The 19,260-nt window shown below is 39.3% G+C and overlaps 1 protein-coding gene across 16 annotated transcripts in view; it reads left to right on the top strand.

Annotated features, from left to right (window-relative positions):
• Nucleotides 1-19,260, top strand: part of PARD3B (par-3 family cell polarity regulator beta) — a 1,074,688-nt gene that overhangs the window by 993,018 nt on the left and 62,410 nt on the right. For all 16 annotated transcript variants that reach the window (XM_047443208.1, NM_001302769.2, NM_205863.4 and 13 more), the window contains one exon: nucleotides 14,832-14,911. In XM_047443208.1, coding sequence (XP_047299164.1) covers nucleotides 14,832-14,911 — 80 coding nt within the window. The remainder of the gene's footprint in view (nucleotides 1-14,831; nucleotides 14,912-19,260) is intronic.

Below are 19,260 nucleotides of genomic sequence, written 5' to 3' on the forward strand. Positions count from 1 at the left end.
ATGCATATCATCCTTCTAAATGTGTCATATTATTCCAGCCACTCATCTTGTATACATATAGTGTAAAAAAAGACACTTTCATAAGAGAAAGTAAGAGTTCTCTCTCTATAATTCCCTCTCTTTCTGTCTATCTGTCTCTCCTTTCTCTCTCGTCACTCTCTTTCCCAATACCGTTTTCGGAATAGTATCGGTGAAGAAGCTTCCGTTAGCTCTGTAAGCCAGATCTGCTCAGGGGGCTCATGGAAATGAACTCTACAGGGCAGGGAAGAAATCCTCTCCAAGTGTTTTTGTTTTTTTATTTTGTTTTGTTTTTTAACCAATAGAAAGGTCAGATTCAATGTAACTGCAATAGTAAGAATGAATATTTACTGACATGTAGTAGACTATGTGTGAGATGTACTATGTGATTTATATGCATCATATCATTTAATGCTCATAACAGTCATCTGAGTGGGTATTACTAATCGCATTTACAGATGAGAGAAATGAGGCTCAAAAGTTAACTTACCCAAAATCACAAAGTCAGTAAGTGGTAGAGCCAGAATTCAAACCCAACCACTATGGCACACTGTGTGCAGGCCTGAGACCACTGCCTCTGGGTGTTCAATTAGAGACTCTTCATGCAGTTTCCAGTTAGAATTAATTAATGCTGGAATCAGACACGCATTAGGAGTGATGGTGCTTTTAGGATTGTCTGACCTACCCTCCCTGCCGTGTCATTCTCTTTGAGTGAAATAGTCTTATGAGGAATTCACAACACCTGCCTTTGTCCTGGTCAGGGTAGTGTTGCAGATTGAGTCAGATGATGTCTGAGAACATGCTTTGATCATTGCAAAACCCTGTATGAATATAGTATCTGACAATATATCACTCATTTAATATGTATGTAGGAACTAGACAGCAAGCACATTTTAAAAACAGGACAGGTAGTTTGAAAATCGGTTTAACCTTTTAGGTATCATCCTCTAGAGCAGGTATGTGCACAGCCCCTCCAAGGCCGTGGTCAGGGGCCCATCAGCATCCAAGCTTCAAAGCCAGCCATTGCTGGTCACTCTATCCTTTCCCCAGTGCCTGCCAGACTGTTCACGAAGTAGCAGCCCAGCTGTCACAACTGATGACCAGCTGTTTTTTATTTTAACAATGGCTACTAAAACCCACACTGAAGTATCCTTTGTATTATTTCCTCAGTAGTTTAGATATCCGGTTCTGAAGCTTTGATCAGATCACTGAACACAGTTCTCCAGACCCGAACCCCACCCCTCCCCCAGGTCATTGCACAGAGCAAACGTGTTCTGCTCAAGTGGCATCCTCAGATCTCCACTAGGTGGACTTCACAGAGCAGCCAAGTACGGTTAGATGTGACTCAGGTGAAGTTTTTTCAAAGCCCTCTTAGCCAAAGAAGTATGAGGCTTTGATGTAGCCTTTCACTAGTTCGAAAGTAACTCAGGAACAGAGGGGAAAAGACTCAGCAGTTCTCTCCTAATATCCAAACTTTCCTCATTTTAGTATCACTACTCAGCTTGCAGGGAAGTCTGGGAGAGGGTTCCTAGAAACCCAACTAACCACGGACTCTGTGTCCTCCACAGCATGTGAGTTGTGCGGCACCGTCATGCTACATCCATGTCTTGGCTCATGTGAGACACTTGGGCTGATTTTTTGTTGTTGTTGTTGTTGCTTGCTGTATATTTGCATAATTTTATATCCCGAGCAGAGTTCTTGATTTTGCAAGAGCATAATAAAAAAAAAAAACACTGTGAATTGGCAGGTTTGAGGTTATGATTTGCAGCTGGTCTATCACTTCCTCTTCCTGGAAGCTGCAGCTTAAAGTATTTTACAATTATCATATTTCACGGGACCTGGGCCTATATTTGCATCTGCTCATCTTTTGGTTTTCTTTTTTAAAAAATACTCTCTTTTCACATTTTTTGGTGGCAAAATTGTCCAACACATTCATTTTATGTATTTTTCTCTTCTGGGTATAAATTCATATGGTTCAATGCTATTGAAATCAAAACATTCAATGCAATGAGCCCTTCGGACAGGTTTTTGAGACTGAAAACAATGACAAAGCAAATTCTACCCAGGGTTGCAGTAATATTTCTAACCAGCTTCCTTTGTCCATTGTCATTATTTTGATTAAAAAGGTGTGTAGAAGCCACGGTGGATTTTCAGGATGCAAAAATCATTGCAGAAACTTCCTCTATTAGTGCAAATTATTAGACGATGGAAATGGTACTTGAGCAGCAAGAATGACATTAATTATGCGAAAAGCAGTCATATCTGGCAGTTGGCAAGCATGCATTATTCTTCAACAATCTTCCATGGGTTTGTGTTCAGCCAGCATTAGAAATCTAAAAGCTTTTAATTTTGGCAAAGTTTTCACAGGACTTGCACTTCCAGCTTCTAGATAAAAGATAATTTGGAAGGAAATTATGTTGGTGAAATTGAAGAATTCAGTAATGAGTTCTGTGTAGATGAATCAATGCTCAATTAAATGATTATATCAAATCTACCTTTAAATGTTGACTTAAAATAATCATATTTTAAAGACATTGAAAGTAAGATGCTATATATACATGTAATCAGAAGAGCAAAGTCTGTGTTACCCATGCTGGTAGAGGAATGAAGTATTCTGATTGATCCATGAATTTGATTAATGGAAAGAAATTTAGGACAGGAATTACCTGTACGCTAAGATTTAGAGTAGACTGCCATAATCTAGCTTGTTTTCATAGTTTCCATTCTCTTTTGCAGCTTTTCTCTGTTTCTCTGGGTTTTTTTCTCTTTCCCTGTCTACACCCCTTTTTCCAGGCTCCCTTCTCTGTTTGAGAGTTTTAATGCTCACAGAAACTTTGTTTTTTTTTTTTTTTTTTGAGACAGAGTTTCGCTCTTGTTGCCCAGGCTGGAATGCAATGGCGTGATCTTGGTTCACTAAAACCTCTACCTCCTGGCTTCAAGCAATTCTCCTGTCTCAGCCTCCCAAGTAGCTGGAATTACAAGCATGTACCACCACGCCCAGATAATTTTTGTATTTTTAGTAGAGACGGGGTTTTGCCATGTTGGCCAGGCTGGTCTCAAATTCCTGGCCTCAAGTGATTGCCCGCCTCAGCCTCCCAAAGTGCTGGGATTACAGGCGTGAGCCACCGTGCCCGGCCTATTTTTTTTTATCTACTACTTTATCCACCTGTTTTTTTCCCTTCGTGGCAATGAGTACAGCCAATCAGAGCAATATTCTTTGTTTCATTCATTCAGTCAATCAGCATTTACTAAGCCCCTGCCAAGTTTATGGCACTAACCTGATGATAGGCAGAGCTACCAAAACTGAAGAAACAGATATCCTGCCATAGGCAAAAAAGCACATGTTTGGCTGGCCAGACACGGTGGCTCACACCTGTAATCCCAGCACTTTGGGAGGCCGAGGTGGGTGGATCACTTGAGATCAGGAGTTCCAGGCCAGCGTGACCAACATGGTGAAACCTCATCTTTACTAAAAATATAAAATTAGCTAGGCATGATGGTTCATGCCTATAATCTCAGCTACTCGGGAAGCTGAGGCAGGAGAATAGCTTGAACCCAGGAGGCGGAGGTTGCAGTAAGCTGAGATCACGCCACTGCACTCCAGCCTGGGCAACAAGAGTGAAACTCCGTCTCCAAAAAAAAAAAAAAAAAAAAAAAAAAAAAGTATATGTTTGGGATCCATAAAATTTTTAATAAGATCAATAAGATCATTGAGCATGCATAAGAAGGACAAGATAAACCTGGAAAGTTAGGTTGCTATGGGTTACTAAAGGCCTTGCATACCAGACTAAGAGGCTGAGTTTTTTTTCTCTAGTTAACAGGAAACTATTCAGTAGTTTGTGTTTGTGTGTGTGTGTGTGTGTGTGTGTGTGTATGTATGTATGTATGTGTGCTTATTTGGTTTGGTTTTCCAAACCAGGTTTTGACATAAGAACATCAGTTTTCAGAAGGTTATCCCTTCAGTTCTTCCTTTCTCCTCAACTTCATTCATCTTCCTAGAACTTGAACTCAGCTGCTGCAGTCATCACAAAATAACTTGGTTAATATAAATTTGAGGAAAATGCCTGTCTGATTCCAGCATGAATGGTAGGACAGGTCTGATAATGTTGTGACTCCAGTAAACACTGCATAATGACATAGCCATTCCATCCAACAGTAGTTGTGTGCTCAGTAATTCATCTTATTGTATACGGTTCCTCTCCTAGTCCACTGTTACTCTGAGCTTATAGGAATCTTTCCTCACGCTAAGCAGTTACATAATTTAGATTCCAAATGGTTTCGATTTATACTCCAGATCTGAGTTCAAATCTAAATTGTTAGACTATTTATAGTTTATTTTTTATTTTGTAAGGAATATGAAAAGCCAGGACTGTGTAAACAAAAGAAATGTGGCAGTCTTAATAAGGCATAACCATAAAACAGATGTCATGAGGGTAAAGCTCCCTTTAAAACATTTTGATAGTATGTTTTCTCTGATTTAACAGGTTTGGACCAAAAATCTAGCATGGAATCTGATTCATTCTTTCTGTTAACTTCCACTGCGTAGATGTCTGAGACATCTATTTCATTGGCTCAGTAAATATTAATGAACGGACTGATACAAAGATGATATGCCAGGCCTTGAGAATGCAATGGTGCCAAAAGGAGGCATTGTGTTAGCACTCAGGAAGCTTACAATCTGAGATCTTAGGTAAACCAAATTAATAGACTGATACCATGTATGAATAACTGAAAAAAAAACTGTACATAAACCAGGCTATTTTTATAACACATATCTCCTTATTAGGAAACACTTTTGCTATACCAAAAAATTAGAATATATACAAATATTAATGCCTCCAGCTATAAGAAATAAATATTACTAGGCCTTTGGAGTTCAGTGATATGGCTAAGAAGACCACAAACCACTGAGAATACTTGCAGACAGTCACAGACTATTTTACACGTCCCATCGCATCACCACCATGGGTTCATTTGAACTTTCCAGTCCTTCATCTCAGTTCTTCATTTAGGAAACAGAGTGACAGTAATTATGTGATCACTGCCAACATACGAGCAGCATTGTCGGGGGAGAAATGTTGCTTTGGGGTCAGACACATCTCAGTTCAAATCCTGGCTTTGCCACTGTGTGACCCTTAGGCAAGTCTCTTGATGATCTCTGAACTTTCATTTCCTCATGTGTGAAATGAGGCAGAGATGGAAATGGTAGCACGATTGCAACTCATGATACTGATAGTGGAGTGTTCTAGAGAGTCCTTTCTTTTGGTAATTGTAAATGGAAGTGACCAGAACTTGCCAACTGGCTGAAATAGATACAAAATATTCAGCTTTTCCAAATGTTTCTTTTTTCTATGTTTGGTCTTTATAAATGGAAGTATACCTAAAATATGCTAGAGAGCTTGGTCAAGGAATATGCTTTATAGAGTTTATCAGCTAAAAGGGATAGTATAAGAAATAATATGAACTAGTATATCATTTAAGAATTGAACATATTTTGAGGGTTAGCATTGTCTGTTTTGGGGTGAGTGAATAACACTGTCACAGAGTGTACAATAAAACAAAACAGCAAGGAGTAAATGACTCATGGAATACATCCATGAAACAGAAACTGAATTTAGTAAGTACTAGATATTAGCATCTAGTGATTGATGTCACTAAGATTACATCAAATTCCTGTGTACTCTGCTCCTGGAGAATACAAGACAGGTGACAGATTTCTTAGGAAATGCTTTTCCTAATGCCTTTTTTTTTTCTTTTCATCAGACCTTTGTCTTTTTTCAAGTATGAGTTTACTTTTTAGCCAGTGTTACAATATCTCTATTTGTAGGTAGACAGATGGGGGATAGGAAATGAGGAATGATGTCTGGCTCTTTAATTAAAGACACAGAGCCAGAGTTTGCTCTTCAAGCTTGTTGGCAAGGCACATACGCACACGTGCACATACACACACATACACACACAAAGTGCATCTGATAGATGAAGCCAAATTTGTAAAATTGTATCCACAATCATAGTTTCTATGGTAACTGTATCTTAGGCCCAGACACAAACAGAGCTGGCAGGAGATGTCTGATTTTATTTTCTGCTAAGACAATCATAACAGAGACAGTTCAGGTTATTAAGATGCCATAGCCCAGTGTACATGCAGCTAGTACTTGGATGGTGCTACCATAAGATTTCATGCTTAAATCCCAATAAATACTTTATAATTTCATAATTTGCAGGTTGCTTTTCTCTGTCATTCTGCTATAAAATCATCATGTGCCTGCACACAGTTACTATATTAATGAGGTGTTAGTGGTCAACATAAATGTGGAAATGATGCAAGATAACTTTTATAAATGTGCACAGGTTAGAAGGGACTTCCAGGATGTCTGTTTTAACCCTGACATGTTGCAAGGAAGGAAAATGTAGGCACAGTGTGGTTAAAAGACTTATCCAAGAGTTCCTTTTAAAATATTTTATTTGCTGTATTTTTTAAACTAGCAGATGTTCTAGACTAGTCTATAAGCTGAATACCCAGTTATTTCACAAAATTACTGAAATCAAATTGTGGAAAACAAACACTTCAGAAACAATAGTTTGAATGAGTGTGTGTTCTTTCGCCTCTCTGGATGGCATATTTGTAAATACGTAGCTCAGGCATATTATACCACATATTGCTGAAGATGAATAATTAAACATCCTATTTTGATGAGTTTCATTTTGTTTAAATAGAGCATTTCCCTTAGTTCCCCTAGAAACATATAGCATTTTAGCAAAAGTCTTAATATTAGAAGATGCTGAAAGCCAAGTTTATAACTTTTAGAAGTTTTTATTGTGTTGATTCCTTTAAACATCTTCCAGCCAAATCTGTAACTAGGTAAGAGCAATGGAATTAGAAGAAAGCTTTTGGAAATGTGGAACACTTCTCCAAAATATCTGTCATGATACCAACTTGAAATGAAAGGCACATTTCCTAAAATGGCATCTAAATTTTTATACTTTGCATCTTAATCTTATGATGTGTCTGGCAGCATGAAACTCATTTTTTTGTAATGGATCTAAGTAAGACATATTTGTAAATGAGGATGTTATATATAGGTGAATAAGCCGTATTGCAACTTTGCTTGGCCTCTCCATCACAGCAGCTTTTTAATTTCCTCAGGAAAATTGGCTTGGAGGACATAAATTACAAGATTGGCAAAAAATGTGTCCTAACCTATAGAAACTGGAAAACATGTTAATTTTGAATTGTTTCCGCTTTTCATCAGCAGACATTTGCAGAAAAATCTTGTGTAATTTATTCTTTTATTTTCAATGAATTGTTAAAAAATGTTTGAAAAGGCATTATATCTTCTCCTCTGCCATTAATCTACAAATGGGGAATATTGGGAGGTTAAATGGCCTCTTTAGGATATTGCTTTATGAAACTGCTGATTCTAGCAATGCCAGGCTAGAAATACATACTAATTTAAGGAACCATGAATGTAAGCAGCAAGCTCTTTGCTTTTGTAAAGAAAAGACTAATAGCTTTATTTTAACAAGGCTCCTAACACCCCAGCCGGCAGCAGGCATTGAGTGAATGAAACTGGGAGAACTCCCATGGACTAAAAGCACCTTAATTCAACATTCCTTCCAAACACCAAGCCCTCCTGATAGGCTTGTCACAGGCTGTCATAATCCAGCCAAAGAGGGTCACCACGTGCAAGGCGCACCAAGGTATGAGCGCTTTAAATTGTTTTGAATAAGCTCTCTGAAGTTTCACTTCCTGAGCTATATCAGTAAAGGAAAGATAAATATGCCCCAAATCCAGGCGTAAGTTCTAACGTTACACTGTTGTGTAAAAGGCTAGATTTCTGTTATGGCTTAAGTCAAGATTGTTTCTGTCAGACATATATTTAGGTCACTACATTAAAAAGAAAAAAAAAACCTGCATGATACCAAGTAAGATAAAGGGATTTAAAAAAAATTAATTGGATTGAAGCTGCTGACCTTATTTTTTTGTGATGAGGAAAATTACCTAATAAGGAGTTCTTCAAGCAGGAATATTTCTGAGCCTTGTTGAGCACAGAGAAAAATGAGAAGTGAGCTTATAAATGCCTGTGTCTCTTTTCTCTCCCTCACTCCCTCTTCAAGTCATCTTACTTCCTAAGGACTTAACCACAACTTCTTAAAATTGGCTTCCCTTTAGCAACCCTCTATCTGCAATTTCCTATCCTCTATTTGCAGCTCTTGTAAGAATATTTGTACCCAACACACTAATCTATATTGCCACCATTTCTAACCGAGTATTAAAAATTGATCAAATTATAGGAGATTACATGAATTATGATTTCTCCATATAATGGGATATTATATAGCCATTAAAAATCATGTTTTAAAATATATCCAATAGCATACAAAATTGTCAATAATAAACAGATGAGAAAACAGCTCTATATGCCATTAAAATATGTATGTGTTTATAAATGTTAACAGAGGTCATTTTGGGGTGGTTTTCCACAATAATCATTTAATGGAGAAAAAAATGATTAAATCTGTTTTTTTGGATAATGGAACAGAAATGTATCCCCACCATTTTCATTAACTAACATTGTATCCCTGAGGGAGAGGACTTTTTCTCATCTCTATGTCTTATGGTACTTCACATGTTACTCTACCTAGGAGACACTAATACATGTTTACATATTTGAAAGTATTAATCCCATTCCATAAGCATGACAGCATAAGACAGTACAATCAGTGTTTATTTATTAGAAAACTAGAAAGGTTTTCAGCACCAGAGAGTCTGGCTTTCTCTCCCCATCAATCCACCGAAATCACTCTCAATAAACCACCAATCACCATCTCATTGCCGATTCCAAACAATATTTTTGCAGACTTTATAGTGGTCTCTGTTCAGTTGTAGAGAGCAACATCCACTGTAGCTTAAGAAAGAATAAATTTATTATACCATAGTAATGAGCTTATAGAACCATAAGGGATGTTAAAGAAAAAACTTCTTGGATAAGCTTTCAGGAATGATTTTTCCAAGCCACACTCCAGAACTGAGCTACTGGGGGAGCTGTTGCTATTTCTATGTAGGAAGTTTTAGACTGCAGAGCCACACAATGCTCATATCAGGAGCCACCATGATTAGGAAGATGCCACAATCAGAAAGCCACCTCTCCTGCCACCAATTCTAAGACCAACTATAAAAGTTACATTTCACTCCCCAAACTAGCAATGTTACAGCTGCTAAAGCTGCCACAGGAAAACCAAGCATACCTCTCATTTAGTCAGTCTTGCCATAATAAACAGCGGAAGTATGGCCACTGCCTCAATTCTATTTTCCAAATGTTATGGCCTAACTTAAATCATGCCAGTACATTGGCTGCAAGGGAATCCAGAGAAAGGTAGTTTTTAGCTTTCCAGGCTCTGGAATTGAAGGTGACACTCTACAAGAAGGGTGGATTGGATGAAGTGCACTAACACACAGTCCCTGTCTTACTGAAGCTTTTCACTGTTTTGGCACTGTGGAACACTCCCTTCATGGAATTCTTTTCTTGGTTTCTACAATAAAACATTTTCCTGGTTTTCTTCTGAACCAACTACTTTTTCTCAGACTTCCTCCTGGGTTCAGTGTTTTTGGCCTGCCCTTTAAATGATGGTGTTCCTAAGAATAGTATTAGTGTTCCTCTCTCTTCTCATTTGTCTTTTCTTTTATTTGGTCCCTACAGACTCTTCCTGGGCATTCTTTTCCAAGCTTTCTGGTACCATCTGTATGCTGAACGTTTCCCAATACTACATCTCTAGTCCAGACTTCTCTAAGTTGCAAACCATTATACTCAACGATCAGACATCTCCATTGACATGTCTCAAGTCAGTTTAACATGTCTAGATATTCCCTCCTCCCACCTCTACTCCAAAATCTGTCCTTCATTTATTCCTGTTTTGGTGAGTATTACCAAAACCATGTAGTTGCTGAGCTCAGAAACTTGGGCATTATTCTAAATACCTCACTCCCTTTAATCCACAGTCAATCCTATTGCTCTTACCTCTTTGAAATCCTAATGACACTCTCTTGTCTTCATCCTTTGAAAAACCCTCAGGTTTATGCTCTTACAATCTCTGGCTCAGACCTTTGCTGAACTCTCCAAGTTATGGTAAGAATAATCTTAAAAACTATAAATTCCCAGGAGATAAAATACAAGAAAATCTAGATGACCTAGGGTTTGATGGTGATTTTTTTGATATAAGACCAAAGGCATGATCTGTGAAAGATAAAATTAATACGTTGAACTTTATTAAAATTAAAAAATGTTGCTCTGTGGAAGACACTGCCAAGAGAATGAGGAGAGAAGCTACAGATTGGGAGAAAAACGTTTGCAAAACACACATCTGATAATGAAGTATCCAAAATACAGAAAGAAATCTTAAAACTCAACAAGAAAACAACCTAAATAAAAAAATGGGCCAAAGACCTCAATGGATCCCTCACCAAAGAAGCAAAGAAGATATACATATGGCAAATAAGACTGTGAAAAGATGTTCTACATCACATGTCATCAAGGAAATGGCAAAACAGCAATGAGATATGACTACACACCTATTAGAATGGCTACAATTGGGAACACTGACCACACCAAATGCTGACAAGGAAGTGGAACACGGGGAACTCTCATTCACCAGGAACTCTCATTTGTTGAATTCTGGTGGGAATTCAAAATGGTATCACTACTTTAGAAGACAATTTGGTGGTTTCTTGCGAAACTAAACATAGTCTCACCATATGATCCAGCAATCGCCTTCCTTAGTATTTACCCAAAGGAGTTGAAAACTGACATCCACACAAAAACCTGCACATAAATGTTTACGTCTTTATTCATAATTGCCAAAATTTGGAGGCAACTAAGATGTATTTTAGTAGGTGAATGACTAAATAAACTGTGCTACATCTGGACCCTGGAATATTACTTAGCCTTGGAAAGAAATGAGCTATCAAGCCATGAAAAAGCATGGAGCAAACTTAAATGCATATGACCAAGTAAAAGAAGCCAATCTGAAAAGACTGCGTACTGTGTGATACCAACTATATGACACTCTGGAATTGACTATGAAAAGAGTAAAAAGATCATTGGTTACCAGGACCTGGGGGAAGGAGTGATGAATAGGCAGAGCACTTAAGATGTTTAGGGCCATGAAAATTCTCTGTATGGTACAGAAATGATGAATACATGCCATTATACATTTGTCCAAACCCATAGAATGAGTAACACCTAGAGAGAGCCCTAATGTAAACTATGGGCTATGAGTGATTATAATGTGTCAATGTAAGTTAATGAGTTGTAACAGTTGTAGCACACTGGTGGGCATGCGGGTAATGAAGGAGGTTATGCATGTGTAGGGGTGGGACTATATGGAAATCTGTATGCCGCCTAAATTTTTTTGTGAACCTAAAACTGCTCTAAAAACTAGTTTCTTTTTAAAAATTGCAGTGGTGGTGGTAACAGCAATAGCCACAGTAGGAGCAACAGTAGTATAGTTGCTAGTTAGTAGTATTCTTTTCTTCATACCTTGTTTCTACCTTTGCAAAATCTTCAAATTCCCTGAAGACACAGTGCTTTCGATATGCCTCCATGGTTTTTCACTTTTGTGCTCTTTACTTGAATGGCTTATCCTACTACTCCTACACCCTTCTGCCCCAGAAAAACTCCTCCTCATCCATATTCAGGTTTGAGATGACGCTTCAACACCCGTATGACGCTGTCTTCAACTCTCCCAGGTGGACTTTGGAATTTCTTCCTGCGGACTCCCACTGCCTCCTTCCTCAGACTTCCACAGTGATCTCATTGTACCACAATTGTTTGCAGGCCTGTTTCCATGAGGAGACCCGCTGGATTTCTTCATTGCTTTGAATACAGTGAATGACTGCATTAATGATGTTGCAGTATCAATGGAGAAACATACAAAGATATACACAATTAGTGAAGGACAGAATAATTTCTTATGTGCAAGCTTGCTGCCTATCTTTTGAAGACTGGCCCAAGTTCTGGTACTTCCATGAAGTTTTTCCTGACACCTCCAGGCCTCACCTGTGCTACTGCTGATAACATCCTGAATGGCACTTGAAAATACATTATCCTATTTCATTCTTTGGTTATTTCAGTTTGAATGCTGTTTTCCCAACAAGACAGAAAATCCCTTAAGAATAAGGATCACCTTACATTTCATACAATCTTATATGCTGTTGGGTATATTTCATAGGTGTGTGTATGTATACTATATATAAATACATATATGTATATACATGCAAATATACAAATATATGCATATTTATATGTATATATGTATATTTTATGTATATTTGAATATTTTATATGTATATTTGTATGTATATATGTATATTTGTATGTATATATACATAATCATGTTATAAATACATATAATTATGTGTGTGTGTGTGTGTGTATATATATATGTGTATATATATATATATATATATACACACACACACACACACACACACACATAATCTGTTCCTCGAGGCACCAGAACAGTAACAGGCATGTGGTCTCCTCAAGGCAACAGAATACTGACTGCTATTATCATTATGCCAGGACAGTTCTGGATAACGGTGCTGAAACTATTAACTTGGAATTTTATAGCTACAAGAAAAAGTTCAGTTGGAATATCCAGAGCTATACTATGGATACATAAGCATAGTGATTTTCCAACAATCACAATTAATAACCTTCAGCATAGTATTGATATTTGCAGGAATTCTCTTTCCATAAGAAATAGTTTAAAAACACAAGAAAGCAAACCTTAGGTAGGAATGGGTGAGGACAATGTTTCTGTCCTTCACTTCTTCCTTTTCTTTTTTTTTTTTTTATCCCCTGTCTGTCACCATCCTTGCCTCTGGTTTTGGTAGAAAGTTCAGAAATTTAAACCAAGGCTTTTATCCTACTGCAGAGAATTCTCAATCTCTCTGTCTGTGATTGCTTTAAAGATGTGAAGTCTTCGTCCCTACCTACGTAGTAGCTCACTGGACTCTTGCCCTCTCAGATAACCCCAGTGTCTCCTGTTCCACCTATTGATGAAATATAAAGAGGTTTTATAGGACACACTCTAAAGGTCCTCCCACAATAATTAAACACCAAGAATAGTCTTTCTTAATCTAAGTGCAAGTGTATACTTGTTTTGCAACATCTCTCCCCATATCCCCAACCCCATATACACAGTCTGCACAAGCTGGGATGGAATGGTAGTTTTATGGAGAGCCGGGACTTTTGGTAAGAAGAAAATAACTTCCAGGTGGTTGATTACCGCCTAGAAAAATTTTCCCTACTGACCTTGACACTGTTAGTTCCTTCCTGTGCTTACTGGCAAAATCTCTTCCTTCCCACCTGATAGTCCAAGTTTTCTATTTACTCCTTCCATGCCCATGTGTGAGGGATATCCAAGAGCAAAAGGAAGCACATGAGTGGTCCATGTGATACCAAGTGCGTTGAGGTGAACAGGTGGGGAATCAATCAGTAATCAAGTACTTTTAAATACGTGTTACGTGTTCATCCTGTTTTTAGTTGGCATGATAGCTACAGAACAATGAGATACAATATCTTGTCATTAAGAAACCAACACACAGTATTGAAAACCTACTGGGGCCAGTCACTGCCCTTTAGGATTTCAGAGGCTGATGGAAAAGACTCCAAGAGAGGTAAACACAGGACGTACAGAGGAAGGGACAAAAACAGTAAAGACCAACACTAGATAGAAAACAGTTCATCACTTATGGGTGGCCATTCGTAAGAGAGAGAACTGAGGTTCAGGGTGGTCGGGGGGCATCATGGATGCTGTGGAGTAGACAGTTGATTGTCAGCAACCCTTGTTAGTAAAGAAAGGTTTTATAGAAAAGGTGCTTTTATTTATTTGTTTATTTATTTATTTATTTTGAGACAAAGTCTCACTATGTCAGCCAAACTGGAGTGCAGTGGCGTGATGTGGGCTCACTGCAACCTCTGCCTCCCGGGTTCAAGTGATTCTCCTGCCTCAGCCTCCTGAGTAACTGGGACTACAGGCGTGCACCACCACACCCGGCTAATTTTTGTATCTTCAGCAGAGATGGGGTTTCACTATGTTGGCCAGTCTGGTCTCAGACTCCAGACCTCAGGCAATCCACCCGCCTCTTGACCTCCGAACAAAGTGCTGGGATTGCAGGCATGAGCCACCGAACCCAGCCAGAAACGGTGCTTTTAAAAATATGGTCTTTTCACAGCCAAGAAGAGCTATAATGGCGTGAAAACTAAATGTAACATACTGGATGGGATCCAGGGACAGAAAAATAGCATTAGTTAAAAATCTAAATAAACTATAGACTTTAGTTAACAATAATGTATCAATATGGATTAATTGTAAGAAATGTGCCATACTAACGTTAGCTAGCGATAAGAGGGAAACTGGGTACAGGATGTATGGGAAGTCTCTATACTACCTGTTCAATGTTTCTGTAAACCTAAAACTATTCTAAAAACTAAAGTCGGTTTTAAAAAAAGAAGAAGAAGAAGAAGAAGAAAATAGTCTAGCATCCTACAGAATATTCCTGGCATGGGGACATGAGGGAGTCAGTTTGACAGTGACCCTTTTTTGAAAGAAGTGACTTTGTTGTTAAATGCCATGTTTGTGGCTTGATCATCAATTCCTATAGCAATGTGGAGTTCTTGCTTGCTTTTCCATGGTTGATTTTTGGCAGGCAGTAACAGCATTTGTGCACTGATTATAATTTCGAGATGCATTGTCAGTAACCAAGGTGTATAATGGATCTTCATCTCTAATTGCTTTTCTCTCCACAGGTGCCTGGAAGGGGTCCAGATGGGAATGCACACAACCTCCGCTTTGAAGGGATGGAGAGGCAGTACGCATCCTTACCCAGGTAGATCACGGAGAGGTCTCCCATCTCCAGCTCACCTACAAATGAAGTCTTTAGAGAAGTCTACATGAAATAGAAATTCTGGCTTTGAAATAGGGAATATGTTATAATTTTGCCTTGCTGCCGTCTGCTGTAGCCCTAGTTCCATCTTCACAAATGTGCTAATAATTGAAACACTTGTGGGTTATTTTTAAGGGGAGAAAATAGTATATCATTGCAATTGAACGTGTCAGCAAGAACATTGGATACTAAATGGAAATCCTAAGCCATTGCTATAAAACTGGTATCGAACATCCCGCACCAAGCTTAGAGACAATCAAATAGTAAATCCTCTGTCCTAGGAGTTACGCACGAGGAATGGCGGGCCAGTCTTAAGCTTGGAGTTTCATGTGGGTGTTAAGAAGCAGGAAAGAAATGTGAACTTAGGAAGGTGTTCTTTGCCTGATTTAGAATCTGACCTTGTTCTCAAGGCAATAAGCAAATATTGCTGAGAGGCACAGACCCAACGGGGGAAAGAAACAACTGCATGGGAAAAGTTTGCTGGGCCACCCTGGCCTGACATGATCCACTCATACTGTAACTCAACACCCTTGAAAATGAGATACAATTCTCAAAACTTGTGCTGTTATTGGTGAGATGAAGAGGAATTTTAGTTTGCTATCAGTAGCACATGACAAAGAAACAGCTTTTCCAAGAGTACATGCAGTCCAGCTACGATTGGAGTTAGGTGAGGTGAGAGTATGAGAATTAATGCATCCAAAAGAGAAACAAAGTAAGGTTAATGCCACGCAGAAAGTTGCAGTGTTTTCAAATATTGCCTTTTAAAGGGGTGGGGGAAAGACCCCAAGCAGAGTTTTTTTATCAAAACTGAGCTGTTAAAGTGCCAACTCAGAGATGGAGTGACTGTTTGACATTGTATGTTGACTGTACCTCTGTGTGATTTTACAAAACAAACACCCTGAACATTACAATGGGCAAAGCCAAAGTGACCATCTGCTTTTATAAATAGTATGTTATTTTCAAAAGTAATAAAATCTGAAATCTAGCAGAGAAGCTGTTTTGTCCTGATTAGGCAGGACACCCAAAATACAATATTTTAAAACTTTTATAAAGTTATATTTTATTTATCTTCCTGTTTTCTTTTCTTTAATAGATGTTGTCTAATAAGTTTTTCTTATTTGTGATTAGCTTCCTGTTTCTATTTTCCTTGGCTTAGTACAACTGGCCCTCAGTATCTATGGGTTTCACATCCATGGATTCGATCAATCTCAGATCGAAAATATCCAAGAAAACAAAGACAGTCACAATGGTACTGATTATGTACAAACTTTTTTTCCATGTCATTATTCCCTAAACAGCACAGTATAACAACTATTTGCATAGTCTTTACATTGTACTCAGTATTATAAGTAATCTAGGGATGATATAACGTGTATGGGAAGATGTGCATAGGTTATATACTAATACGATTCCATTTTATATCAAGGACTTGAGCATCTGTGGATTCTGGTATCTGAGGTCGGGGGCTGGGGTGCGGGAGGTGCAGTCCTGGAACCATTCCCCCAAGGAATGGGGAATCATCCCCAAGGGACAGTTACATTTTGTTTCATTTTAAAAATGGAGGCAGTTTCCAAAAATTTGTTTTACATATAAGATTTCCGGCTTTCACTGTTGAAGTATATGGAAATTGTGGTTAAGGCAGATGGAAAATAGAATGTTCTTATGAGAGGGAGTAAAAAAAGGAAAACTGGAAACAGTTTAAAATCTTCCTGACCAATCTGCACTCAGAGTGCAGAAATGGAGTGTTTGGGTACAATTCAGAGGCACAGAAATAGCATTTAAAATTCTATAAATTTCACTCATTCATTCATTCATTCACCTTGTATCTGGTGATCACCTAGTATGTACCAGGCCCTGAGAATATGGAAACTGGAGGCACAGTCCCAGTCCATCCTCAGGACTCTACTGTTAGCAAAGGAGTCAAGCAAATCAGCCTTTTACAGTAGTACAACCAATGCTTCTGTTTGTAATTATTAAAGTCTTCTGAATTTCCAACTCTTGTTTATTTTCGCTAATCCCCGAAATACTCACTCATGGCTGACTCTAAACAAGTATATTTTAGGATTAAACACTGTGGTGGGGGTTTTCTGTCAAAGATAATACATTTATGCTGTTTATGGCTCTTTATGAATGTATGAATTGACAAAATCCCGCCAGCCCCAGAATAAAACTGTAGCTGAAAGGGAAGCATCTCAAACTGGAAATAATTCTGGCAAAAAGTTCACTCACCCACGTACACAATGGTAAGAGCAATTAGTTGCATGTGCAAACAGACCTTTGCAGCTACCTGGCAACCAGAGGCAGCCATGGTGGAGAATAAATAGGGCTCAGATAAATGCAAGGGGGACCCCTGGCAGTGGCTTTTAAATGGGGATGCTGCATCCCAACATCTAAAGAGGAGATGCAAAGCTCCCTCCCAGGCATTGCACCCTGGTCCATGGGTGGGGGGCTCCAAATTAAACTAATGAGATGCAGAAAGCAGAGGCCAGAGACGTACTGCTGGCTTCTGAAAAGGTATGCAGATGCTGCTCTGAGTGCCAGTGACATTTACCCTGGTTTTCTTGTCTTTCCCCCTGGAGATTTTGCTGTCCACTTAATTGAATCACGCCAGCTCCACCGCTGTCTCCTTTTGCCAGGAGAGTGAGGCGAGCACATCTCGGTAGGCACCGGATCCCTCTTCATCACAGAGGCCGGGAGCTTTGAAATATTTATGGAGTTAAATTTTTAATTAAAAACAGGAATAAATCCATCTGTAGGAAGTCGGTGGCCAACCTTATGGAGAACTTAATATGCTACTGACTGATTGGGTTCCTATGTTGTTTGTGCAATGCTTCACAGTAGTTTTTAGGAACAATTCAATAACATTGATTTCTATGCCAAATTTGGAGCCATCGACACAGAGAGAAAATGCTCCACAGCACATGGAGTAGGTGAGGAGCTCTGGTCAAGTGCTTTCATGGAACTCGGTCATCTTTAAAGCAGGCCCATGCAGCCCACTGCCAGGCTAAATGACATTTCACGAAATAAAGCCAGAGCGCTGGCCAGCACAGGAAAAAGACAATTCCCAGCACTTGGTAGTTATGAGGTTGCCTAAGGCTAAGGGCTAAGCCATGTTAAGTGTTATTGTTAAGCAATGTTAAATCTCCTGCCTCCTAAGAAAAATGACTTTACTTCTTTTCTCCTGAGGGTGCTGTTTTGGAAAGCGGAGTGTGGTTGTAATACAACCTCGTTAGTAAACACCAGACCTGTACCAGGGCCAATGTTTTACCAGCCTCAACAGCCCCCAGTTTTCTTGGTAGTAAACAGAATGAAATCAGCATTCCTTTATTCTTGCCTGACACCCTAGGTGAGTAGGGAAGTGGCTGTTTCCTAGGCTGCTATGATGTGCGAACATCAACGTATGTGTTTTTGCAAACGGCTCCTTTTTCACTCCAGCCTGCCAGCCGCTCGCAATTCTCCCAGGTCCCATTCTGATTTCGCAGGCCTCCTTGTGGTCAGTCCCTTCAGCACTGAACTCTCCACTCTTCCCATCTCAAGCCTCCATCATTCCCACCTGGCCCATCCCTGGCCCCATGGGATCCCATTATCCCCCTCTCTGCAGATGGCTCTGTGCATCGGCGCATGATATTGCTCTTCCGGACTTAGAATCAAGTGTGGAGTCCTAGGGAGTGAGCAAAAGGCACTGCAGCTCTTCTGTGGTCCTACATGCGTGGGCGGCAAAAGGTTGCTGGAGAGACTCGTAAAACTGCATTCATGGGTTCCACTACAAGATTCACATTATGCAGCACCAGCTGGGTCCCTTGCTGCCGTCCAGCTTTTTTTGTAGTCATGTTGTCAACTCCCCTGACTATCCCACAGTGGCCATTCCAACCCTTTCTACTCCCGTTAAGTTCTACGAAGATGACTAAACTCCCCAAGCCCAGTCTCTGGAGGTGATCTCACTTCCTTTGCTTTATGACCTTGAGGCATTCAACGTTAGCCCCTCAACTTCTGCTCCTGCAGCTCAGAGTCCTGCATCTTAGCTCACACACGCTTCCCAAGGGGATGCACTGAGGGCCTGAGCTCGGAGTCAGGCCATGATTATAGCCCCAGTTTCATCACTTACCACCTGTGTGGCCTTGGGCAGTGATGGAATTGCTTCAGGCTCTGTTTTCTAATCTGCAAATTGGGGATGATATTAGAGCCTCGGTAATAGTGCCGGTATGAGTATTAAATACAATAATACAAGCAAAACCCTCAGCGAAGAGCCTGTGTAGTGCATTGAAGGATTTTTTATTGTTAGCTCTTTTTTT

Source organism: Homo sapiens, chromosome 2 (assembly GCF_000001405.40).
Source record: "Homo sapiens chromosome 2, GRCh38.p14 Primary Assembly".
NCBI lineage: Eukaryota > Metazoa > Chordata > Mammalia > Primates > Hominidae > Homo > Homo sapiens.